At 38.2% G+C, this 27,499-nt stretch overlaps 1 long non-coding RNA gene across 1 annotated transcript, besides 1 other annotated feature; it reads right to left on the bottom strand.

Moving 5' to 3' along the window:
* Nucleotides 1-9,944: 9,944 nt before the first annotated feature.
* Nucleotides 9,945-12,503, bottom strand: LOC112268436 (uncharacterized). Its single transcript, XR_002959475.1, has 3 exons — nt 12,108-12,503; nt 11,661-11,806; nt 9,945-10,819 (listed from the first exon to the last, which is right to left on the bottom strand). It is a non-coding gene; the product is annotated as an uncharacterized LOC112268436 (long non-coding RNA).
* Nucleotides 11,462-12,661: an enhancer, noted in NCBI's record as "MED14-independent group 3 enhancer chr2:40128919-40130118 (GRCh37/hg19 assembly coordinates)". NCBI's record gives its function as "activates an origin of replication core promoter dependent on BRD2, BRD4, P300/CBP and CDK7 cofactors, and independent of MED14, by STARR-seq in HCT116 cells {active_cell/tissue: HCT116}" and the evidence as "EXISTENCE:reporter gene assay evidence [ECO:0000049][PMID:35650434]".

The following is a 27,499-nucleotide window of genomic DNA, read 5'->3' as shown; positions in this document are numbered from 1 at the left end:
AAAAAAAAAAAGTGTCATACACCTAGGAAGTCCCTGCTAAGCACTGGAAACCACTCAGTCAATGATGAGTTAGACAAAACACAACCAGAATCCAGCCCTGGCTCCACTACCAAGCAGAAGGGTGATGTGAAATGACATGAGGACTTTGTCTTTCTATGTTAAAAGGCATGAGGACGGCAGTCCTCAGGCCCCTCACAGCATTCTAGTGAGGATAAGCAGAAATGCCTGTCACAAGTGTTGAATTCCTCAAGAGACTCATTAAAAGAATCAACTTCTATGGTAAGTACGGCTTTAGGTTGAAGGAAAGGGAAGGTAATTCACACTGAGATTCTCCAGCATGCTGACAATTTGCAAATGGAGAAGTAAAGCAGGAATTGAGCTGGAAAGGTGAGAAGGAAAGGTCTTAGTCCCAAATGGCACATGGTTGGCTTGAGGCCCAAAGTAACCACCCCCACAAGACACAGGTAGTGGGCCTTAAGAATGTCCTTCAGGGTGTACATCGCCCAGTAATACAGAAGAATCCAATTACAATCATGTGGTGTTTTCCGTCATATCAAATTGTTTATCAAATCATTTAATATATTGTAGATTTGGCAATAGTCTGCATTTCACAGGCAGCTCTTTCAATTTGAAAAACTGTAAATGTCTACGTGTCATTCCAATGCCAATGCTACCCTCTAGTGGATAAAACAAGTAGCTGGCTTGATAGAGCTCAACTCTCCTGCTTGGTCAATTCTCCTTTTGTAATTTGATAGCACTTCCTCATCAAACACAACTTCACCAAAAAAAAAAATCAAGAATCGTACTTTGTAATAAAAATTAATCCATCTTATGGTATCATGGACTAATATATTAGAATAACATTTGCTAGCAGTTTAATGATTATGACTACACCGAAGCCTCACTTTGAATAACATCTACATTTACCAAGAATTCAAAAAAGATTTAAGATTGAATTCCTTTTAAATATTAATATTCCTTGTAAACATGGTATGTGATTTGATTTATAAAAGCAATTTTTCTCACCACTCTTCAAGAACACACCCATTGTGTAAGATGCGTACATGCATTTCCATTGCCATTGAGGGATGAAAGGATTCTGCCTCCTCACAGGTGAGGATATTCAGGGAATTGTATGAAGTAAAGAATACGCTTTGGAGGAACTCAGATACACACTTAGAATCCAGCCCTGCCACTGGTTAAGGGTCTTAGTCCAGTCACTCAACTCTGTGGTTCCTTGGTTGCCTCTCTTAGGTCCTACTTATGACTTCTAAACCCCAATGTTTGGTGCCAATCCTGTTCTTTCCCCTACAAGGTCTCTGCATAGATCGACTCTAGAAAATCCTGTTTCTAAGTGAAAAAATCTCAGAATCTACTTTCAACCATGCCAGCAGTTCAAACTTCAGTCTTAATTAGGGGGAAAGTGGAAACAAATCTAGGATTCATCAGGCCATAGTGCCACACCCTCAAGGAGCCATTCATGTTTATAATCTTCACTTGAAACCACATTGATTACCTTTTATATTGAAGGGGGAAACCTTCTCTAAGATAAAATGAGCTGCCTATACCCCAGCTAGGATGGTGTCTTCTGGAGGGAAGCAGGAAGTTTCATGGCATTTTGGTGCAAGAGGCAGTCACTCTCAAGTATGTGGGGACAACCAAGATCACACTTTCCAAAGTTGTCTGGAAAATCACCTTGTTCTCTACTAGAAGAAAATCAAATCCCTACAGATACATGCAGCTGCAAGCAATTACTCATCTTCATTAAACACTCACTTAAAAGACTAATTCAAACAACGCTGCTGCCTGCCTACACCTGTGTGAGGAAAGTAAACAAGCTATAAGGGGAAAGGGTGACATCTACCCAAAAAAACAAAAAACAGAAAACACACATCTATAAACATATGTACATGGCCATTTCCAGAACACCAATATTAACTATCAAATCATCAAATAACTATTCTCATTACCAAGTGGCTTGGGTTACTCCCAAGATAAGCCATTGTTTCCATTGCTAAATATTGTGAACCACTTATAGAAATACACGTCCCAAATAAAAATGGCATAACATTATGATTCAAAAGAGACTTAGGAGCCAATAGTAGCCTCTTGCTTTCACTCAGGGGCAGCAGATCACATGCTTAAAAGTTTCAAGAAGCAACCGAAAATCTGTGCAGAGAATGAGCTTGAGAAACAAAGTATTACTACCACCAGGCACTACTTGGTAGGTCCAGGCAGTGTGCTGGAACATTTCTTGGGTTATTTTATTTTACCCACAAATACATGTTTTCAGTATCATTTGAGGTTTAGAGAAGGGCAGTAACCTGTCCGTAATCATACAACTCCTAAGCAGCCAAACAGGAGTTAGAACCATCTTACTCCCAAGCCCACAGTCATCACAAATCTCCTAGTCAGTCTCAGGGACTGACCTTAAAACACATGGAGTTTCAAACTTGGCTGCATGTTGGAATCACCTGAACAGCTTTCTGTTTTGCTTGTTTAAGGCTAATATCTGGATTCAACCCTCAAGGAATTTAATTGATTTCTGGTGTGCCCTGGATGCTGCAATGGTTTTTATACGTTCAGGGTAATTCTCATATGCAAATAAGTCTGGTAATTACTGGTGCAATATAACAAAGTCTTGTACATTCCTTTTTCTCTTCACATTGTTGCCAGAAATGGAAGCAGTGTAACATAGGGCTTTTAAAACATTGGTTTGGGAGTCATTCAGATCTGGACCCCACCCTCAGCTCCATCATTTGCTAGTTTTATAACTCTGGCAAAATTAAACTCTCTAAACCTTAGTTTTCTCACCTATACAATGGAAACTTGTAGTGTTCATAATAACTAAATTTAAAATTATACAAGTAAATTTCAATATAATTTATAAAGAGCTTATAATAAAAATTATAAAGAGCTTAGTAGGGTGCCTGGATTGGCAATAAGTATCCTGAAAATCTCTCCCTTATTTTTCCTATCATATTTGATAGGAATATTTTATGAGCTTATAGTTTAATTAAATTTATATAAGAAATTATGCATAAAATGGCATTATTAATAACTATCTTGGGTATTACCCATTAAAGTTTGTGAGATATATTCACACATCCTCACTGAACACTCATCTCATCTCTGTGACATATTTCCCACATTGTAAGAAAAAATGAAGCTCTGGGAAACCAAGTCTTTCCCAATGTCACACAGTTCCTAAGTGGCAGAACCAGAATTTGAATTGACTACCAAGATGCTTCAGGTTGAAATCAAGTAACACTTCATGCAAACTGTGAGACTCATTTTTTGTTTTAACTTGTAAGTTCAGTGGTACATATGCAGGTTTGTTTCATTGGTAAACTTGTGTCATGTAAGTTTGTGAGACTCATTTTTTAACATGACAAAAGACACAAAGCGTTTTTTATGTTGACTCCTCATTCTAAACAATTTAAGGAGTTCTCTTTTGAACCACCTTTGGAGCTAGTTCTCAATGTAAGAAAATCACTCATCTTGCTGTTGTTCCCTATTTTATACACTAAAAAGTACTATCCAGTTTGATCTGCCCTTTCACCTACTGTTCTTACTTCTAAATGATTTTTGACCGCGGATTTGATTTCAGGAAAAAAATAGTTTTCATCAGTGAGCATGTTCAAAAGCATATGCCTCAGATTCTACAGGTAGCTTCAGGAAAGGAATTTCAAAGACAATTAAGCAATAATAGCATCCTAAAAAAATTATTGTTTGGAAGAGATTGAACCTCTCTGGATGCACAAGATCTGGTTGGTTTTTTAATTCATTTGTTTATTTTATTCTAACAACTTGTAAATGTCTAGAGCTATTTCTAAGAAGGTATAACTGACACCTCAAGAAATGTCCAATGAGTTGAATCATTACAGAAAATGATCTGGCTTTTTTTTTTTTTTTTACTTTGAATTCTAGTCAACTCAAAAGTCCCAAAATATTTTTCCTCATTTGGGAGTATTTTTTTCACCTGATGCATACAAATAACATCACCCGACTTCATTTTCTGTGATTTTCTAAAAGTGGCCTTTGTAAGAATATCTTAGAGGTTTACTGATTATCACAATAATTTTTCTTTACAATGTCATAGTTCCTAAAATCATATAAGCTATAATTGTATCCTATAATCTTTGTAAAATTGAGAATGTTCTGAAAATGCCTGAGGAAATTGTCCCTAAATAACTACATATGGAACACATGGAAAGGAGAATTAAAAACGAATATATGCAGCAAACGGAAATTAGTTCCAAAGACTTTTAAGCTAGAAGGAATGCTATCTCATCCAGTCCAACTCACCCTCCGTGAATTATACGAACTGAGACGGGAGAGGTTAAAGAACTTGTTTCAACTGGCAGAATGCGGACTAAAATTCATAAAACTTTGGTTCTCAGGGCAGGGCCCCTGCAACAGTTGATTTGTCCCAAACATTAATAGAATCTCTCCTTCAGAAACATCAGGGTTTTTTTTCTATGTGATCCCAATTAGGTATTATAAGAGCGAGGGGGAAAAGCTAATGTGGGGTCCAAAAAAGGTTAGATTGTTGAAAATGAAGAAGTCTGTGGATTCCTAAGTCTACAAAATCAGTAAACTCCTTGGGCTTACAAGGAAACTTAGAGATCATCCAATTCTCACTTTATGAAGAAAGAATCAACCTAAAAAGAGATGACATAGCTAAAAAATAACAGGTATAATAGCACAGTATTATTGTACTGAATTTTGCTTTGTGTGTAGCACTTTGCTAATCACTAGCATATACATTCTTAGTATGTTTAGCACTGCAGCCCTAACAGGTGGGTTCTATTAGTATTCCTGTTTCCCAGGTAAGGAAACCGAGCAAAACAGCTTAAGCAAATTTTCAAGGTTACATGGCTATTGTGGTAGGCAGCCTTCTAAAGTAGCCCCCAACAATCCCTGCCTCCTGGTATTCACATTTACTAATGTATTAGTCCATTTTCATACTGCTGCAAAGAACTGCCCAAGACTTTTATAAAGAAAAGAGGTTTCATTGACTCACAGTTCTGCAGGGCTCAGGAGGCTTCAGGAAACTTAAAATCATGGCAAAACAGGCACACATTACATGGCAGCAGGCAACAGAGAGTGACGCACGAAGGAGGAAGAGCCCCTTTTAAAACCATAAGATCTCGTGAGAACTCACTCACTATCACAAGAACAGCACAGGGGAAACCACCCCCATGATTCAATTACCTCCACCTGGTCTCTCCCTTCACACGTGGAGATTATAGGGATTACAATTCAAGATGAGATTTTGGGTGGGGACACAGTCAAACCATATCCTTCTAACTAGTGACTGACTTCTAATAAATAGAATACAGCAAAAGTAGTGGGATGTCACTTCCGAGATTAGGTTACACAAGACTGACTTCCAACTTGTTCATACTCTAGTTCTTCTAGCTTGATCAACTCAGTGAAGACAGCTGCCATAATGGGAACTGCTTTATGGGAAGGTGCATGTGGCATGGAATTGAAGGTGGCGTCTGGCCAAGAGCCAGCAAGGAAATGAAGCCCTCAATTCAACAGCTCACACACACACATAAAAGCTGAATCCTGTCAAGAACCACAAGTGAGCTTGGAAACAAATCTACCTTCAGTTGAATCTTGAGATGAAGACAGTCCAGGCTAACAACTTGATTCCTGCCTATGAGAGAGCCTAAGACAGGATCCAATAAGCTGTACCAGGATTCTTGGTGCACAAAAAACTGTGGGATAAATAGGGTTTTAAGCCACTAAGATTTGGGGTAACTTGTTATGCAGCAATTGATGAGTAATACATCTAGTTAATCAAAATCCCAGGATTTAAACTCAAGGTATCTAACTTCAAAGTCTATTCTCTTACTTTGTCAACAATGTCACAATGATAGTCTATGGCAGGTCATAGTTAGCCATGATATTGTAAGTTAAACCCATGTCTTCATTCATTAATTCATCTTAAACATGGTACTGAACCTCTGCTAGGTGTCAGGAATTCTTTTAAAGTCTATGATATAAAGATGAAAAAGACAGTTTTTGACCACATACTATTCACCTCCTATTTGGAAAGAAAAGTGTACAAACAGGTAAACATGTCTTTAAATTACCACTCAAATTCAAACTGGGGATATTAATTTTAAAGACTCTATATGCAGTTCTGGTCTCTTCAGATTTTAATGTAGATATCCACTGAGCTTCTAATTCCTAATATTTTTAGTAGCACAGGAATCAACTCATTTTATTTACAAAAAAAAAAGTTATTTAATATTAAAACCATTATTTGCTTTTATCTCTTGTCTCAGTTTACACTAATATTTTAAATAATGCTTCCTAAAATTAACACAAAGTAGGTATATAGAAGATGGAGTATCAGAAGAGAACCCTGTAAGAAAAGAAAGAAAAGAATGTGAGATATTTAAAAGTGAGGCATAAATTAGGAAAGAAAGAAAATTACAGGGAAAAAAAGGTGAAGGGCGACATTCAAATTGACAGAAAAGAGCTGATAGAATTATTGATCCCTTGCTGCAGCTAACCCATATGTTTTTCCCCCTGCTTTTTGATGTAATTGAAGAGAATTTGCACTAAACTATTAATCCACGGCTTGTTTGAAAATGTATCAGAATTAATTAGCAGAAGATGACAGAGAAGATAATGATGACACTGAACATTGATTTTGGGTTCATAATGGTTTTCTAGAGATTTTGTTTCAGTTTGGTTGATGAGATTGACAAACTGTGAGGCAAAAGCAGTGACAGACTTAAAATTTATGTATTTTTCCTCAAGCTATCTGATAAAGAGCTGGAGATAGAGATCTAGATTTTTCATGAAATTGCATTTTAATATCCATAAGTATTTCAGCTTCAAATCATTTAAATAGCATTTTGTTCATTCATCTTATTGAAAATATTAGCTTTGTCTTACTTTTTGATTTTACAGTTATTTTCGTTTATTATACTAATGCTGTATATTCCACGCTACAAACGACTCTTTCATGGGAATTAGCAAAGCAATCATGTTCTAAATTTTTTTTCTAAATCAAAAGAACTTCACACTAAATTAGCCATACCCTGGTCATTTCTGACAGACCATGTGTCTAGCAGGTAAATGTGTTCTCAGTGGAACTATCTACCAAGAACAGGAGACTCCACTTGAATGTCTTAGTCCCTAATCTCCCATTCTGTGCACTGGGACCGATGAGCCCACAGTGGAGTGAGATTCTCAGCCTGTGGGGCCATGTCCTGAGCAGAAGGGGGCAAGACAATCAGGCCAAATCAGACTATTTATAAAGCACAAGCCAACTAATAGAACAAAACATATATAAAGAAAAATAATGCAACAGGAATTTAACACAAGTATAATAATATACACAACTGTCATAACATAAAACAAGCAAAATGTTGAACACGTAAAGCAGGAACAAGATAAATGATAAAATAAAAACAATTTGAAAAATGCGATATGAAATATTGCATTGAAATAAAAACTCAGTAGAAGAAATTAACAGCACAGTGGACAAAGTTAAATGACAAATCAGTGAGCAGAATGATTGGGTTGAGGAACTCTCCCAGAAAACATCAGAAAGGACAAAGTTATTGAAAGAGAAAAAACAAGGATAAATGATATAAAGATCAGAAGTGTCCACAAAAGAGAAAAATAAGAGAAAGGAGAAATTATGTGAAGAAATGACTAATAAGAATTTCTCAGAACTAAACAAAGACCCAGGACTGCAGACTAAAAAAGTTTAGACAGCAAGGAGGCTTGAGGGAACAAAGTCATTTCTGAGACTTATGATGATTAAAAAAATGTATTAAAGACAAAAGCTTCTGAAGGGCACAAGGGAAAGAAAATCCCCTTCAAGAAAATTCTGAAATTGGTGTGAGATTTCTCAGCTGCACCAGATAGATGAATACAATGTGCTACTACTATCTTCAAACTGCTGGAAAAAAAAGTTCATTAACCCCAGAGTATTAGATCTTATAATGCTAGCATTTAACAGTGAAGATACAATAAAAGCATTTTCAGATATGCAAGATGTCTGAAAATATATCAACATGGAAGCTATTTGAAAGATATTATACAGGAAGACGGGAAATGAATACAGAAGGAAGCAAAGATATATGGTAAATAAGCAAAAATAAAGGAATCCATTAATTTTGTGGTTTTAATAAAAGAGGAGGAGGAGGCAGAGGCTGGCTTTATAAAGTGCGGAAACATTTCATGGCTGGCTTGTACCATTTTGTGGGCTAAATAAAAGGGATAATTTTCCTAACGACAGTCTTCTGACTTGCAAGGTTCATATAATTCCCCAACCTAAAAATTTTCCGACTTCTTCAAGGAAGGATCGGATTCTTTTCATCTGCCTATACATGGAGCAGAGTCAAAAAATTTTAATTCACACTATAACTCACATTTGCAAGGTGGACGAAACATTGTCTCTATAGTCTACGATTAACATAATATTTCTTGCAAGTCCCTAACTTCTACTCAATTCACTTTAGATATAATCTGATTCAGTAATTTTAGTGGCCACTGAAAACAGTGTTCAGTCCCTCTAAGAAAGGATGCTCAGTATCCCAAGTTGCCTCTGCCTCTCTCCCTAACTTGGCATTGAAGTGTATGACAGTTCTTGGTGAGATCAAGGGATCCGCTGACCTTGTACTGGGATGCTGTGTGCACTGGCTGACATGGGCTTGTCTCTGGGACAATGGCCTGAGTCTTCCTGGGGTGCCTGAGCTCTGCTGGCCTTACACACCAAAGTGAATGTAACTCAGACTCATCCTCCTGGTCCCAACAGTGTTTCTCTTCTGACACCATCGTTTGATTCCTACAGGCTGCAGACCCAAAAGCCTCTTGCCACATCCTCAGTGGAGGGCCACCTTGCACTGCTATAGCAGCCCTCTTCCCAGGCCCACTGGCTCTCAATTCAGTGACTTCCTGACGAAGGAATTAGGGCATCTCAGAAAAGCTAAACCTCTGGCTTCTCTGTGCTGACAACTCAATATTATACCCTCTGGCTGTGTGGCAGGAAAACAAGGATCGATCAGACCCTACTCCTTCTGGTGTTATCTGCATTCACCCAACACATATGTTTCTCCCCAAGCCTAAACCCAGAGAAGAAAAAATAAGCAGCACAGATCTTAATGTCTCCATTCTCCCATACTATTACAGGACCAGCAAATGGAGGCAGTGGTCTCTTAATTCTCCTACACACTCTCTTCTCTCTCTCTCACTCTCAGAGGGTCCAGGCTGGCGTGAGCGGACAGGGCATCCTTTTCACACCTGAGAGGATGCGTGATCCATCCAGTCTGATTTGAATGATGCTGATGTTCTCAATTGAGGGCATAAAGGAAATGGAAACATCCTTTCTCAGTACCGTATCTTGGTTTGCCAGCCTATTTATTGTCTCAATGAATAATCTGCTTTTGAATACCAAAATCTGAGTATGTCCTTGCTCTTTCCCTTAGCATTTTTCTTTTGTAAAATATCCTATTCCCCAGCCCTTCTCTCAATTCCCACAGATGCTGCCTAGCACAGGCTAAGCTTGAGAGCTATTGATAAAGAGAAAAGAAGAAAAACAGCAAACTGATACCTATTCCCCAGCCCTTCTCTCCATTCCCACAGATGCTGCCTAGCACAGGCTAAGCTTGAGAGCTATTGATAAAGAGAAAAGAAGAAAGATAGCAAACTGATACATTTTTAAATTATTACCCCTGTGACAGACAGGTAAATACCTTGGGGTAAGTTACAACCTTTTCATGGGATGATAAGGAATGGAATTTAGACATGGATCAACCTCCTCTGGAGGGTTGACCACTTGAAGCTTCTTTAGATCTTAGTACAGGGGATTCCATGGTGTTCATGAAGCCTGGAAGACATAGCCTAAAGAAGCTCCAGGTCTCCTGGAGTGGTCCATCATAGCATCAACCTATGGCCAGTATCCCAGATACTCCTGATGATGGAGAAGGGGTTGACTTGGGCTAACCTGAGTCTCTGTATTTGTATTCAGCAGAGGCCACAAACTCAGATGTTTCCAGGCAGCAGGCACAGAGCATATGTATCTGAAGCGGCAGAGAAATATTTTTTAATATCTTAAACACTGTCTCTTACCCCTTACAACTCCCCCCATCCCCAGCCACAACAAAGCATGTATTAAGGCCAGATTTATCCTGTAACCTGAATTTTCCATCTTTGAGACTCACAGAGAATTAAAATGGTTCTAAATTATTAGTGTTGTCAGAGTGGGAAGGGAGTTGGCAGCATTTGGGAGGTAAAAAAAAGCTTCTCAGAAGTATTTCAAGTGAAGAGTTACAAACTTGCTACATTTCACTTCACGTTAAACTAGAATGAATTTTTAGAGCAAACCTCTAATTTTGTCCATATTTATGGTGGGGGAAATAAGATTATACAGTAGGAAGTTTATGTCTATCATGGTTGATCTTTAAAAAGTGTATGTAAGTCAAGCCTTGACAAATCCAAATGGCTTTAGTGTTTATGCAGATAAGACAACTGTGTGGGGCATGAAGTGGAATCAGGCTTGGTGGCCTGTGAGAAACTGGCAAGGCATGCCTACCTGCAGCATTTCAATGTAACATTACAGCTAACCCTGAGTCCTTTTGGTCAGCAGGACACCACTTGTGACCTCTGGTGTATGCAAACAATTTGTGTATCTTCTGAAGAAATTGAATTGATTTCCAGTTCATAAAACAAGTGAAGATTACGGTGTATGAATTAAGCATCTCCTCTTCATGTGTCCTAGTACACATGTGTGTCTGTGCCCCCAGACACAGAACGACACAAATCTTTGTCCATTAAAGGAGTCCTGTGTGGAACCAAGGAGATGGCAGATTAGAATACAAATGTCACAAGTCAAATCTTTTGCCTTAAAAAGGAGTCTGAGACCCTCATCCATCTATCTTCTCATTATCTTAATAAAGGGTAACCTGAGTCAGAAGTTCAGGAAAACCATGGATTGGTGGGTAGGGGTATCAGGTGGAAGGAAGATAAAGAGAAAACCCCAGGCTTCCCCTATGTTAGTCCTGCACTCATAAAAGCCCTTCCTCACTTTAAAACATTGGGTGTCTTTATAATATTCCAAATCAGCATTAAATTCACCTACAAAGTTTTTTTTTTAATTTTACTTGCCCAGTGTTTTTGTTTTTAATTTTTGAATTAGTTTCCATCCATTGAAACTTGGGAGATTGCAGGAGGTCCAGCAGCACTCCAGTCACCGTTCTGCCTGAACTGAGCAGAGGACGCCTCGCCTCCCTAGACAGGAATTGTACTGTCCACTTCATCACAGTCCCCACCACTCCCTTTTGTTTCCCCTCCATGGAAGCTGCTTTTTACCATCATCTTGTGCTACTGTTGTTGTGCTTTATTTTTAGACACCCGATTACGGATGTATATTCCCTGCCTGGCACCATAGGCATTTACATCTACATTCCCTCTTTAGAGTCCCCTTTGCACGCCCTTCCCTTGCTTCCCCCAACCCTAGAACATGTTCAGAACTCCCCTGCACACTCAGCACTTTGCCTGTGTACTCTAGGGAAGGCTGTCAATGAGGGAAAAATGTAGTCTGGATGATCACATGGGTCTTGCCTACTAGGGGGTAACTTGTTTCAAAGGGGTAATCATGACTTGGCTGATTCTGAATTTGCTACCTGATCCAAAGCACAGCACATGGGCAGATTCGATTCTGGACTTCAACTACAGCACGAGACAGCAGCTGGCACAATTTTTGGAGAGATTCTTGCATGAATTCTGAAAGCGATTTGCTCGAATTTTACCCTATATGAATTTCCTCCTTCTGGAAAAAGAACACACAGACCTTAGTGAAACTTGCTTAATAGTAACAGTTTCTCCATTTTATCTTTTTCTCAGAAAAGAAGAGATAAACATCATTAAACCTGATGAGCATTAGGAGGGTAAGAACAAGCTGTGCTTGAGATAAAAATGGATTTTTTTCTCTTGTTTTTCTTACTAAGTTGGGTTATTTAGTTTTCTGCCTCAGTGTATGCAGTTACAGAACATATCAAAATCTTGTAATTAGACCTCCTCAAAAACCTACACTTCTAGCTTCACTGATTGCAGTGATTCATCCTACTCACAGAAACATCATCTTGGTTCCCAGTAAGCATCTGACTGTTCTAGACATTTAGCCTGTGACTCAGGGTGTAACATTGTCATGGAACCTCTGAAGATCTCATGGGCTGATGACTTCTGTTCATCCTCCAAAATAAGTGTCAGGTCTAGGAAGGTAAGAGAAATCATTTGTGAATAATAGGCACTATCTGTTCTGCTAAAGCAAGCATGGGGCTAGGGTGTGACAGACAGAGAAAGACAGTTATGATCAAATGCCATTTGCATTTGTGTACGCAATGGGAATATTGTTTAAATACCTTCTAGCAGATTGGGCCTTCTTGGTAATTGTTTCTTTCCCTGTAGGCCTTCACCTTTTTTTTTTTTAGTAGAGACAGGGTCTTGATCTGTGGTCCAGGCTGGTCTCAAACTCCTGGCCTCAAGCAATCCTCCCGTCTCAACCTCCCAATGTGCTGGAATTATAGGAATAAGCCACTGCACCCCACTGAACTGCTTCTTCTTTCTTTCTTTTTTGCTTTACAGAAGAAGAGGAGGATAAACATCACCTGGGCAGAAGGTTAACAAGTTATTGAGGCAGTTCCTGTCAGTTCAGAAGGCAAATAAGAAGCCCTTTCTGTAAGAGGAGAAATAGCTGCAAGAGAGAGAGAAGGGTAGTATGTGAGTAGTCAAATAAGTACAACTGAGGGAGGAGGGAAGAAATTAGGAAACCCAGTTGGTCACAAGTCAAGGCATGTTCTGAAGTCAACATTTTCAGTAATAAAACAATATTTTATCTTCATTTTTTAACTCCTGTGTCTTTTTTTTCAATAGGTTATAAGTCAAAGACAGAAGAGGGGTAAAATTTATCAACTCCTCCTTAAACCCCAATAAAAACCAGTATGAGATTTTGCGAGCAGAATAATAACAATTCTCCTGAAGTGCAGCTTTCATTAAATTTTAATGTCTTATTCAATGACAGGAATAAAATGGGCCATTTAATCTGGTTAAGGATCTTATCAGCCTTCCATAAGAAATAGAAAGAAATAAACTGTAATGTACATGGGAAGGAAAATTGAAAGGACTAGCAGAGATGAAGCAATAGAAGAAAATTTGACAGCATAGCTAAGACTTCCTTGAAAGAATCAGTGTCATTAAAACAAAATCAGACTTTTGTTCTTCCTTGCAAGCAAATATCAAGCCTAAGAGGGTAAAAGAGGTAATTTGTGAAAAAGAGTAGACATATATAAGCATCAAGAAATTATATAGCAGAAGAGTCAAAAATCACAAGGCGAGCCATAGACATTTACAATGTTTACATCATTGTAAAATTGATGGTTAATGGTTAATGGAGTTAAGGGTGAAACATTATTATTTCTACCCAAAAATGGCAGAACAGATATGCTGATATTCTGAAGCAGTTATTCTACTTCCAATGACAGAGACCCTGCAAATAACAAGGACAAAATATAAAGAAGAGAGTCAAAGTGAAAGGCACTGTTAAGAGCAAACTAAGAAAGTGAAAGGACATGAAGACACATCACGTTACACATCCTGTCCATTCCTTTTCCACAGTAGGATCCATAGGCCAAGCCTTGATCATTTCATCCATGCATCTCACATTCGATGAACTGCCCAGGACTTTCTTCATCACTTCTCAACATTTGGACCAAAGGTGTTTTTTCCCTCCACCATTTCCTTAAGCCTGTACTAGTTTGTTTTCACACTGCTATAAAGAACTACCTGAGACTGGGTAATTTATAAAGAAAAGAGGTTTAATTGACTCTTAACAGGCTTAACAGAAAGCACAGCTAGGAGGCCTCAGAAAACATGGCTAGGAGGCCTCAGAAAACTAACAATCATGGTGGAAGGCGAAGGGGAAGCAAGCACATCTTCTTACATAGTGGCAGAACAGAGAGAGAGCAGGGGGATGTGCCATACTTTTAAATCATCACATCTCCTGAGAACTTACCCACCATCACAAGAACAGCATGGGGGAAATCATCCCCATGATCCAATCACCTCCCACCTGGTCCCTCCCTCCACAAATAGGGATTCCAATTCGAGATGAGATTTGGGTGGGGACACAGAGTCAAACCATATTGAGGCCTATAGTAGTTTCTCATTGAATTTGAGATAAAAACAGGGTTATGGGTTCCCAAAGCCCAGAGACACAAGGTAAAGAACTTATGACTTGAGTCTTCCTTTTTTTTCATTCAGCTCCTTGAACTAGCTCCTCTACACCTTCTAAGCAAATTTGCTCTTCTGCAACTATATTGTCATTTCACTCTTGCCTTCATTGATCTCCCAGGGCACATCCTATCCTGGAATAGCATCCTCGCCCATCCTATTCCAGCCATCCATTCCCTCTGCCCCACTCCATCCCACTCTACCCAACCCCATCAAGTCATTGGGCTTTCAACTGAGTTTTTTTTTTAAAGGCTGCTACAATACTGTTTTCTAACTCTGACCCATTAGAAAAGAAATGGCTATCTCCCCTAAAATTTATTCTGCCTAAACATGCAAATTCTAAGAGTTCCTTTTTATTTACACAATATAACTTTTATATGATGTGCAAGCAAAAAGGCAAGTGCAGTTCATGGAGGTAGTGAGATGTCTGGGGCATTCTTTTATTGCAATAGAGGCCCCTAGAGCAATGGTCCCCAACTTCTTGGCACCAGAGGCTGGTTTTGTGGAACACAATTTTTCCACGGATAAGGCGTGAATGGTTTCAGGATGAAACTCTTCCACCTCAGATCATCAGGCATTAGATTCTCATAAGGAATATGCAACCTAGAACCCTCGCTTGTGCAGTTCACAATAGGGTTCAAGCTCCTATGAGAATCTAAGGCTGCTGCTGATCTGATGGGAGGCGGAGCCCAGGTGGTAATGCTCTCTTGCAGCTGCTCATCTCCTGCTGTGCAGCCCAGTTCCTAACCGGCCACAAATCGGTACTGGTCTGTGGCCCAGGGATTGGGGACCCCTGCTTTAAAGGGTAAGAAGAGTTTTACTTCTAATATGTTGCATATCTCCCAAATTAAATAGGTTATTGTGATATCGTGATTTATAATAAGAAATATTTCGATCTTTAGTCATTTCCTGGCGCACAACTTCTAAATCTCTTGTAATTTCCTGAACAACAGTGGTGCTAGGTGCATCTTTTGTTCTAATATTTGTTCTCTGACTCTGGTTTCCAACACAAAGCTCATAATCTCCTGGAATTTCCTGGGTGATAGGAGTGTCTTTTGTTCTGATGAGCTGACTCTTGGTGAGCTCCTGGATGGACCCTGGTCACCAGAAAGACCAAAGCCATGATGAGAAGCTTGGTACTTTCAGCTCTACCCTCCCAACATCCTCCAGGAAGCAGGGAGGGGCTGGAAGTTGGGCTAACAATCAATCATACCTATATGATTAAGCCTTCATAAAAATTTCTAAACTATGGAATTCGGGAGCTTCTGAGCTAGTTGAGCACATCTATATGCCAGGAGAATGGTATGTAGCAACTACATGGGCACAGAATCTCCTGCACCTGGGATTCTTCCAAACCTTGCCCTGTGTAGTTCTTCATCTGGCTGTTTATTTGCATCCTTTAAAATATCGTTTGTAATAAATTGGCAATAGTAAGTAACATTTTTCTGGGTTCTGGGAGCTGTTCTAGCAAATCATTGAATCCAGGAAGTGGGTAGTGGGAACCTCCCATTTATAGCTGGTTGATCAGAAGCACAAGTGACACCTGAACTTGCAACCGGGCTCTGAAGTGAGATAGTCTTGTAAGACTGATTCCTTAACCTATGGGGCCTGAGCTAACTCCAGGTAGATAGTATCAGAATTGCACTGAATTTTAGACACCCAGCTGGTGGGAAAATTGGTTGGTGTGAGGGAAAAAAAACACACACACATTTGGTGTCAGAAGTAAAGTGTTCTGGAGTATTGACAGAGGTATGAGTACAAAGAGAAAAGCAATTTATTTCACCTATACAGTTATTAATGCTATTGATAATAAAAAATAATAATCTCCACAACTCCGGCTCCATTATTCTCAAGACAGAGAGAAAGATAGATTACCTCACACCCATTACAATGAATACTGTCAAAACGGAAAAACAAAAACAAAAAAAGACAGAAAATAGCAAATGTTTGCAAGGATATAGAGAAATTAAAATCCTGTGCATTGTTAGTGGAATTGCAAAATAGTTCAACTGCAGTGGAAAATAATATGGAAGTTTCCAAAAAAAATTACAAACAGAACTATCATATGATCCAGCAATCCCACTTCTGGGTATATATCCAAAAGAATTGAAAACAAGATCTCAAAGAGACATTTGCATACCCATGTTTATATAGCACCCTATTCATAATAGCCAAGAGGTGGAAGCAGCCCAAATATTCATCCAAGATGAGTAGATAAACAAAATGTGGTACATACATACAATGGAATATCATTCAGCCTTAAAAAGAAAATCCTGTCATATGCTACAATATGGTTGAACCTTGGTGACATTATGCTAAGTGAAAGAAGTCAGTCACAAAAAGACTAATACTGCATGATTTCACTTATAGGAGATATCTAAAATAGTCAAATTCACAGAAACAAAGTAGAAGGGTACTCATCAGAGGCTAGGGAAAGGAGCAAAGGGGAATTATTTAATGACTGTAGAGTTTCAGTTTGGAAAGATTAAAAGAAAAAGCTCTGGAGGTCTGTTTCAAAATAACGTAAATAGACTTAACACTAATGAAATGTACACTTAAAAATGATTAAGATCGTAAATCTTACATGTTTTTTACCACAAATTTTAAAAAAGAAACAGAAATCAGTGCAACCGGCTTTGTGTTTAAATATTACTTGCTGGATTGTGATATTCTGTGTTTTCACGGACAAGAACTGCTGATTCAGTCCATTTGGAAAAAATCTTATTGAATCAATGTAAAATGAACAACTCACGCTAGTTTTTGCACTGCATTAACCAGTTAATTTAATCTGTTAAATGTGGTTAAGTGAACTGAGTCAGAATCTCCATGTAGCAAGGCCTCAGGCATGAGAAGGTGTTTTCATGGCTAATACAGTGTATGAAAATTAATAAAATATTAATAGTCTCAGGGGAAGGTGAAAAACTGATGGTGAGCACTTTCCATTAAATAGCTTTTTTTGGCCTAATCCTAGGACTGCCTAAATTGTCAAACTTAAAAGTCAAGACTGAAAAGTGTTATGAATAGAATAACTAAGAGACTTTGTTTCCTTTTCTAGCTCTGCCAGTGCCTTGCGTCATAAAGTACCTTAAAGATTATCTAATGCAACCTTCCAACCTTGAGCCTTCAATCCCCTCCCACAAAGTTTGATTACCTGAGTCCTCAAATGCCAGTGAATTTTCTCTCGTCATCACAGTTCCTCTCCTAATTGGTCAACAGACTTTATACATAATTTATTACATATTACATAAATTATGTATACTCATTAAACATCCCTATGGTTAGACACTCTGCCAGATATAGTGATAAAAAGTATTAGGGGGTTCAGTTTCTCCCCTAAGAAGAACCAACGGAAACCTTCTTCCTATATGGTATTTGGGTCTGAGCTGGGAGTGGGGATAGGAACTGTTAGCGTTAGTGAATGAGGTGGATAGTGTGAGAAGCACTGTTCAGAAAAGAGAATCCTAAGGGAACATCCACTTGAAGAGGAAGGGCAGATTAAGAGAAGTGGATGGAACCAAAGGAACAGGAAATCCAAAGGTTTGAAGTCTCCCTTGACCTCCCTCACTGACACAAATGGTCATATTTTATAGTCTCCTGAAACCACAAACTCTTCTTCATACCATTTATCTCAGGAAAAATTGATTATAATATCGTAAGTGTAAATACTCGACCCGAACTCAATTTTCTAATGATGATCTTACCAGAAGGGAGAAGAGACAGACCAACTTGTCAATTATATTACAGACAAGGAAACTTAAACCCACAGAAGTTGTCCAGGGTCATCTAGCAAGGTTGGTAATCCTAAAACCGGTATATTCTGCCCAACCCACAGACCCCCAGTATAGCCATGGGTATGAATAAACCACTTGAAAGTCATTCAACCATTTGAGAGTCATTTAACCATTTGAGAGTCATTCAACCATTTGAGAGTCATTTAACTATTACAGAGTCATTTAAATTTCCATTTGGGAGACTGGGATACAGAGAGGGGTTAAAGTGGGATAGCAAGCAGAAATTGTTGATTTGCTATTTTGTCAAGGTTTCTTTTAATCATTTAATAACTGCCCTGGGAGAAACGATGACAGAAAACAACCAAAAATTTCTCACATATTTGCAGAGACAAGAAATCAGGACAGGCTCCATTAGAAAAATTTTATTTTTTGCTTTGGTTTCCAAATCTTCACATCTTTCATAAAAACTTAAACACCGCTATAGATTCATGGATTGGGCTATTTTTATACTGTTTTAACTTTCCTGAATAGAATGTAGGAAATTCTACTTTAGAAACTAAAGGGGAACTAATTTTTCTACCACCATAGTAAGCAATGTGAGACCGCCCTCACAGAACCTCAACAAGAGTCAACATCTGTTTTCTTCCCTTGGAAGCCACTATAAGAAGTACCTATCCAGGTATAAAGAGTTTAATTAAAAATCCAAAATTATTTGCCTAAATTTGAATCCCAGCTTTCCTATTTTCTTGCTATATGATTCTGAGAAAATTAAGCTCTCTGCGCCTTCATTTTGTCATGCATGAAGTAGAGATAGGCTTCTGTCTACCTCATGGAACTTTTGTGAAGATTAAATGAGTCCATATATGTAAATGCCTAAACCAGTGCTTGGCATGGAAGAAGCGCTATCTATATGTATTAAACAATTTGGTAAATATGAGGAAACCAGGGTTAAGACTGGTTTGGCGTGAAACTTAGTACTCAACAACAGTGTGACCTAACCTCCATAAAGTGAAGTCTACTCATCTGAACGCTTCAAAACCCATTGCACCTCTTCAATTTGGCAAGGATTAAATGAGATGATTCATGCAAAGTATTTTGCCAGGTGCCTGGCACATAGTACTTAAAGACTGCCCAGTTTTGAGGTTTTCATTTATTTCATTAACACATTTTTGAAGGCATTCTGAGGGCATCATGCAAAAGAGTACATGGCTCAGTCTCTGTTCTCAGAGGTCCTATTCCCATTTATGGAATTAAAATGTATTTATAATTATGGTGTGGGAGAAGCGTCCACGGAGTGGACTGGCACAAGGTACGTGGGCAGGGTGACCAGGAGGGAAAGTCAGGAAAAGGCTTCAGGGATCTCATCTGAATTTCAAAGAATGGGTAGGGCTTTGAGGGATGAAAACAGGGATTGGGGGCAGGAGTCAGCCTTAATTTAAAGGTGAAGAAATTGAGGCTTAGAGAAAGGAAGTTACTTGTCCAGGAGCCCCTGAATCCAGGCAATCTGTCTCAGAGCCTGCTCTCCTTTAGTTTCATACTGATTTCCTCTGGGAGTATTCTCTTCCCCCTCTTTTGGAATAAAATCTATAGCATAGACTTTTAAATATGAAATAACTCAGATTAAACTAGAGAAAAGTTCCTGGCCTAGTTAACATTTTCATTCCCATGGTTACATGCTGTCTAGCTGGTCTTATTATTTTTTTATTTTTTTATTTTATTTATTTATTTTTTTTACTTGACTAAGACATGGCTCTTCATTGAGCCCCAACACTGAGTAAACCCACAGGTTTACATTAAAAGACACACTGCCCTTGTGGGACAAGAAATCTGCTGCTTTAATCTCAGCACTGTCTCTTCACTCCAGATATTGACGGAGTTCGGCTTATGAAGAGGGTTGAGCCTCCCAGAAGGGCAGCAGGGATGACAGGCTTGCCATGGCCTCAGGCCCACTAACTTTGAGCAACCTCGGGAGATTTATTTTCACCGCCTTGAGTTTTTCCTCCCATAATGGGAATATATTCACCATATAGTCCTCACACATTGACCAAGGCTCAGGTTTATTAATGTTTATGTGTATCTCAGGGGTACACTGAGACCTTTAAAAAAAAACAATCCGGAGCTCTCTGATATTGGCTGACACTCATGATCCAGCGGGGACCTACTGGACGCTGATGGCAGAGACTATTTTCAGAAACTTGTTTGCTATAAACCACACTAACTACCCAGGGTAATAGCCTGTCGTCTTCTGTCGTCTAGGAGTCATATTAATCTATTTTCCATTGATTCCAGTTTGTTTTCAAGTAGTTTCCTTCTAATGGTCTGTTTCAAGTTATGTGTCATAAAAGACCTCGAATGACACCAGATGTAATTAAATTTGCCAAAAGGTAAGCATTCATCAGAAAGAGTTAAACAGATTATTCCAGAGCTGTAATTTACAGAGAAAATGGAAACCCGAAAGGGAGAAAGCAAAAGGAGCTGGAGCATCACTCTGGGGAGGGATGGGTAGCCAGAACAATATTTCTCCCACCCCATCTCTCTCCCCATCAGTAACTCTCACTGATGGGATGTTTCCTGGAGGCTGGGCACTGTGGTCGTTTGCTTTATGTAGTCCTGGTAACCTACACAACAATCCTGGAAGATAGAGATTGTGGCTTAAATTTTACGGTTAAAGAAACGGAAGCTGAGAGTAATTAAGAAACCAGCTCTGATTCCAAATCTCTTCCTGTCCCTCTCCTACATACCCTGATCCTAGGAGTGGCCCCTTGGAAAAATCTCTTCCTTTCCCTCTCTCATATACCCATATCCCAGGAGACCCTTAACTGTTCTGGAAGCAAGAAAGGGAGGGAATATAGAGAACTGATATAAATAAATGGGCATCTCTTGAGCATAAACTGTTACAATGCTTACAAGATAAAATGAATTATCAGGACACATCAACCTGAAGTTGGTGACTCAACCTCTTTCTTTACAAGAAAGAGAACAGGCTTTAGCATGAGACAGATCCAGAGTCTATTCCAAGCTCTGTCACTAACAAACCACAGCTTACAAGATTCCTCTAAGCTTTTCTGAGTTTTTTTACTGTAAAACAGAGCTAAAACCACCTGGTTCAGAGAGTTGTTACGAGACCATAAATGATTTAACGTACATTAAATCATCTAAAATACAGCAAATACTTAAGAAATGCTAATGCCTTCAACTCTCTTCCATAGACCCATGAATCCCCTCTTGCATCTCCCAATTTCATGCCAGACGAACACACAACCCAAAAGAGTAATCTCAGTCTAACGAAATGTATAACCTTGCCATGGCCCAGGTTTCTCTTTTCTCCTGCAATTTTATAATCCACTGAAAAAAAAAATATTCTGAATAGAAATCTACCCTCAGCCAATCCATTCCCTTTGGGTTATTCTTTTCTATACTCACCTTACTTGCATGTGGGAGATGAAAATATACTTGATAATTGGCTTTCAAATATGATTTTCTTCCTTTCATCTCTCCTATGGGCATAGCTCCAGAAAGAGTCTTCATATCTCATTTTTAAAAAATCATTGATTTTATTAGAGTTTAGTTCTGGCTAGTCTTTCTCTGTCCCAAAGGTCTGGCTTTTGGAGGTCCCTACCACCCTCAAATATTCCAAAGGAGACTGACAATGTAATAATAAATAAACCTCCACAGGTAGCCTACCAATCTAATTACACATGACTTGCCATACTTGATAAACACAGATGCAGCTTTTTTAAAATAGTACAGGTAACTCAGCAGTTACAATCAAATGCTTTGAATGCTTTATCTGAAACAACAAAATCCATGTTATAATTTTATGGAACTATAATTTACTTCATTTTTCTTTTGTATTTTTCTATCATTTTGACATCCCTGAGTACTTTTACTACTCGCTAAATCCCTCTCACAGTCTCATGCACACCCTCCCATGCAGAAGGTACAATTTAATGGTACCCCATTGATGTCTGGTGATGATTCTATTCCCTGGAGGGCAGATGCCAAATAATTCATTGCGGTTCCCGGCTCAGGGCCTTGCACATAATGGACGCTCGATTAATATTTAAAATCAATTGAACCACATCTTATTCACCTCTTGAATATCAAATAGAGGCTGCAATATGACCAGGTGTCTGGGCCAGACATCAGATATCTTTGGTTATTTTATTGAGTTGGTAGATTGTTAACTTCTTTAAGGCAAGGTTGGCACTTTACATGAGAGAACACATTATACAGTGAAACGTTCCCTGAATATTCAATAAGTGGGAATTAAATTGGACAATTGATATAACAAATAATTAATTGGTGAACTGTAGAAAGCAACCTGTGGTCTACTTCACCATTCTTATGAAAAAGAGTAATTTATGTTAGCTCTTACAGAAAAAAGATCAAGGAAGAATTCACTTAAAGTCTGAAAGTATCACTTTCCTCACTTTGATAAGGAAAGTTTTCATTATACATAAGGTTTCTCCTAGTTGTAAAGGGCTCTAGTTTTGTGAATATTACACCAAATGCGACCAAGCAATGTGGAACTTCTCCAGCATTGTAGAAAATGCATTAGATTTAAAGTGGGAAATACCTGTATTCTAAAACAGTGGTTCCCAACTAGGGGAAACTTTGCCCCCAACTGACATGTGGCAATATCTGGACACATTTTTGATTGACACAGATTGGGGTAGAGGGCAGTTTACAACTGGTATCTACTGAGTAGAGACCAGGGTAAATTTTTCATGCTGCTAAATATCCTACAATGCACAAGACAACCCACTACCACAAAGAATTCTCCAGTCCCAAAAGTCAACAGTGCTGAGGTCGGGAAACTCTGCTTCACACCAGATTCTGCCACTTTCTGCTTATGTGTGCTCGATCGAATGACTTTTCTTAATTGTGATGTGGATCATGAAATTCTTTTCTTATATACCTCCTAAGTGTTATAAAGACCCTATATGGTACCCCAAAAAATGTGTAAATACCATAAACTCCAAGTACCAATATAAATATATGTTGTTAGTATTAAAATACACTTAGGAAAGAACCAAAGTCAAGTAGTTAAGTTAAAGGTGACCTCAGCCAGACAGCGCATCTCAAAATGAGCAGCTCCCAGAGGCCAGGCCAAGGTCATAGTTGCAAACATGGCACTCTAATAAATACCCCCAGAGAAGGACAGTTTTCCAAAAGGATCCCAGTTCCAGATCAGGCCTTAACTCCCAAGTTCTTTCTAGAACAAATTCAGTCCCTCAAAGAGCATCTAGCAGATACCTGGGAGAGCGTCTAAAGAAGGATACTTGTTCCCTCTACTGCTGACCCCCCTTGGACACCAGGGCAATGGCCCAGCTAGCCTACCCCGAGGCAGACTTCCAACTGGAGCCTGCCAGTAAGGTCAAATTTCCTTCTATTCCAACAATAGTTCCTTAAATAGAGACACATTGTTTATAGACTGAAAATAACACTGCAAAGCCATTCTACCACAACATGTTGATCCCAAATCCATATTGAGTGACTGTCTAGAATTTAGGAATTAGTGACAAGCCCAGGGCCAACTCTCTGAAAACAGTGGGCAAAGAAATTTAGAAAAGCAGTTAGTATTAGCTGAAGAAGACTCTAGTAGAAAATCAGTCCTGAAATATTTTTTTCTTTATGCATTGCATAGAGAAAAAGAGAGATTCATGTTCTGGAACTGTCTTCACAAATCATAAATTCACTTAATGAGGAAGAAACACCTGAAAGTTCAAATCATATGTTTAATTTATTGCAAACCCTTGAAATTTAGGACACTTAGTTGTATGCCACAAAGGCCAATAAACTGACCATAAAATTCTGAGATTTTTCTTTGAGGTTTGTCTTAATATTAGTTCACAGTCAACCTACATCAATAATCTCCTACAATTTAATAATATTCAGAGTAAAATCTTTACTGTCAGGATTGTAAAAACAGATGTTAAAATGAGGGTAAGAATTAAGAAGACATCAATGAATTCAAAGCTTAAAAGAACTTAACATGAGAATGAGCTGCAAAGGGAAATAATAAATTATAGATGTGTCACTTTTAAAAAGTCATGTTCAGTGCAGAATTAAGGCAACTTTTCCTACTATGTTTGGACGTGAATTTTAAAGCATGAGAATGGCATCATTTTCCAAATCTCAAGAAACTAAGAAATGTTAGTGGTTGTAATATATAACTTTTGGGCTTACTTGTCTTTTTTCCTTTCAGAAAACTTTAATATTAAAACACCTAGGAATAAATATTTACTCTTCCTACATCTGTCCCTGAAAACACACTAAATATTAACTTTATTGAAATGGGCTTCTTTATTTGTCCTCAAATAATCCCCAGATTCGGGGCTGTAAAAAAGATCAACTGTTGATGCGTTCCTCTCACCCCAGTGCAAAACACTTTGTCAAGGGCTCTCAAAAACATATCAGATCCTATGAGGCTCCTGCCCTGATTTTCCAGAAAAACAGAATGTTTAAAATTTTCAGCTTTATTTCAAAATACTAGAGAAAGTAGAAAATATGATAATACAAGAGATTAATGAAGGTTCATTACACAATCACAAGGGATTTTATAAAGTAGAATTGATTAGTTGACCTATGTATAGGTCACACTAAGTGCTGTTAGAAAACAAAGCCAAAGGAATTACTGTGAACCGGAAAGACTTGGGAAGCCATCACAGAGAGAAGGATCAGAATCAGAATCAATCAGGTTTTCAAAGATGAATAGGATTATGACAGGCTGAATAAAAGAGAAAAGTCTTTCACTTTGCCAAACAAAATGTAAAGGTGAGAAAATCCAGAAGGCAGGAAGTTGAACAATTTGACTGAACTAGAGGGTAAAAGTGAACCACAGGAGAAAAGATTGAAAAAGAGCATATTGTGAAAGACCTTGAAGGTAAATTTAAATTTTGACTTCTCTGATAAAAGAAAGGAAGGAAAGGAGACAGAGAGGGAGAAAGAAACACCTCCTTGATGCTCCAAACCTGACAGACCAATGACACAATCAAAACAATATTTTTTAACAAGATTAACTTAGCAGCAAAACATATAATGCACCAGATAAGGGAAAGCCAAGACTTAGATGGACCAAGGCCAATGAATAGAACTACTGGATACCTTCAAAGTTCAGGTTCTTTTGCTATCTAAAGCTATGTGGAAGGTTTGCTAAGACTGATATAACACTACTTTGACTTACCTACTAAAAGAGAGTTCATATAAGCATAGCTGCCAATTATTTAGGTATCTTTTATGCATACTAATAAATATTGTACAAATGAATTCTTCTTTGGTGGATTCTACATTCCAGAGTTAAAATGTTGCTCAGAAATAACCAATGTCGATAGCATATTACAAAGGGACAATGAGATTATATAAGTTTATCATGTCTAAATATTGTTCAAATTATGGAACTCAACAATTTTACTGGTTCTACACATCTAGAACATTGTGATAAATTCTAGAGCACATATTTTTAAAGGATATTGGTTGATATACCAGAATTGCCCAGAATAAGGCAACAAGGTTGGCAAAGAATCTGGATAAAAAGCCAAACAAAAAACAACTGAAGAAACAATTCATATTCCTTATCAGTCTTGTTGTCCCACTCTAGACTATTATATATTTCACATATATAAACTTATATATTATATAGTATGTAATGGTTATAGTAGTTTCCACCAGGAGTTGAAGAGCCATCTAGAAGAAAACGCATTAGTATGCACTATTCTGAACGTCAGAACCATAAGCAGTAGGCATAAATGTAGGAGAATAATTTGGGGGTAAATGTAAGAAAGTTTAGACAACTAAAGATAACCATTTAATAATGGTGTAGATCTCAAGTCACAGTGAGCTGTCCATCACTAGAAGTATTCCATCAGAAGCCAAATCACATCCGCCAAGAAGGTTGTAAGATTGATTCTTAAATTGGATAGGAAACCTATGATTTCATAAGACTCCTATATCTACATCCAGGATTCTCTCCTCTTCTGAGAATCATTTGTTCACAAGAAATTAGAACCTAATCAAAGTAGCTTAAACAATGAGAAAGTTTTACTGGAAGGACCTAGGGGCATCTCATAGAATCCAAGGGTGAAATGAATGGTTGATCTTCAGGAGAGGCTGGAAGCAGGAAAAGATGATCAGGAACCATGAATCTATATTTCTGCTTCTCAGTCTCTTTTTCAGTCTCCCTCTTATTCAATTTCTATATAGTCTGTTAGCTCTACTTCTCTGCGTATCTATTTCTTCCTTATGGATCTACGCATTATCCCTTTATGGAGCCTCAACATCTAGGGCTACACCTCCTTAGAGCCTGCAGCTACATAATCAGTTTATCCCTCTATGTCTGATAGCCCATTTTCATTTACACATTTCTCCCTGAAGAAATCAGGGATTAAGGTTGCTATTTGCAAGACAGGGGTGTTAAATTACCTAAAAAAGACATTTTGAATACAAGGAGGAAATGATTGGCACTCCTAAAACATTAGGTAAAAATCTTTGCTACACTTGTCTGTCCAACATAAAATATCAAGTCAACACGAGGAGAGGGTTAGAAAAACCTTTAGGTTGGCATCTCAGGTGGCAGTATTGAGTAGGAATTACACACAAGGCCTCTGTACTTAACAGCTCAGCTTTGCCTCTTACTAGATGTGTGACTTCAGGTAAGTTGTTTAACCTCTCCACGCCTCCGTTTTCTCATTTATAAAATGAGGATAATAAAAGTTCCCAACTTATTGGATTATTATGTGAAAAAGTACAGGGACTAGTCCATAGATATCACTAAAAAGTGATAGGTATTATGTATTTAAAATCAATCAAACATTCATGTGGTATCAATAAGTCCCACATATATGGATGTCTCATTTTGATCCACAGAACAACTATAAAAGTTGGCAAAGTAGATTGTCTTTATTTCATAGATTATAGAACTGATTCAAAATTACACAAAGTCTACTCTTCTCATAGCTAATGGCCTAACTGTGCCTGCATCTAGGATTTCATGGGTCCCTTCAACTCTTTCAACACAGCGTGCTGCTTCTCTTGATCAACTTTATTTTTTAAGAAACTGATAGACTCAAGTACGAATCACTTCACAGCCTGATGATCAATAGTCTACTGCCTCTTACATATCTTCTTTTCACAACATGGTGCCTTCAATAACTACATTAAATTGAACTTGGCCTTGAAAGTAGTTTCAAAGAATATTTTGGACAAGAACAGATTTGCAACTCCTGTTTCCTCTGCCTGGGACAAGCTTTTCCCAAATACACATCTCTTCGTCTTTCCCACTACACTACTATATGCTTCATAAAGGAAGTGCCTAGAATGTAAATGCGTAATAAATAGCATACAACATAAGATGCACAATAAATATTTGTTGCATGAATAAATAAACCCATCTCTCCGCAATCACTTTGCTTAGTTTTGCTTAGAAGAAACTTGATCCACTACACAAAATTGAATACAACCTTGAACGAGAGGGATAGAGGACACATTTCCAAGAATAGTTA

The sequence above is a fragment of the Homo sapiens genome, chromosome 2 (assembly GCF_000001405.40).
Source record: "Homo sapiens chromosome 2, GRCh38.p14 Primary Assembly".
Taxonomy (NCBI): Eukaryota; Metazoa; Chordata; class Mammalia; order Primates; family Hominidae; genus Homo; species Homo sapiens.
This window is presented reverse-complemented; position numbering and strand designations above follow the sequence as displayed.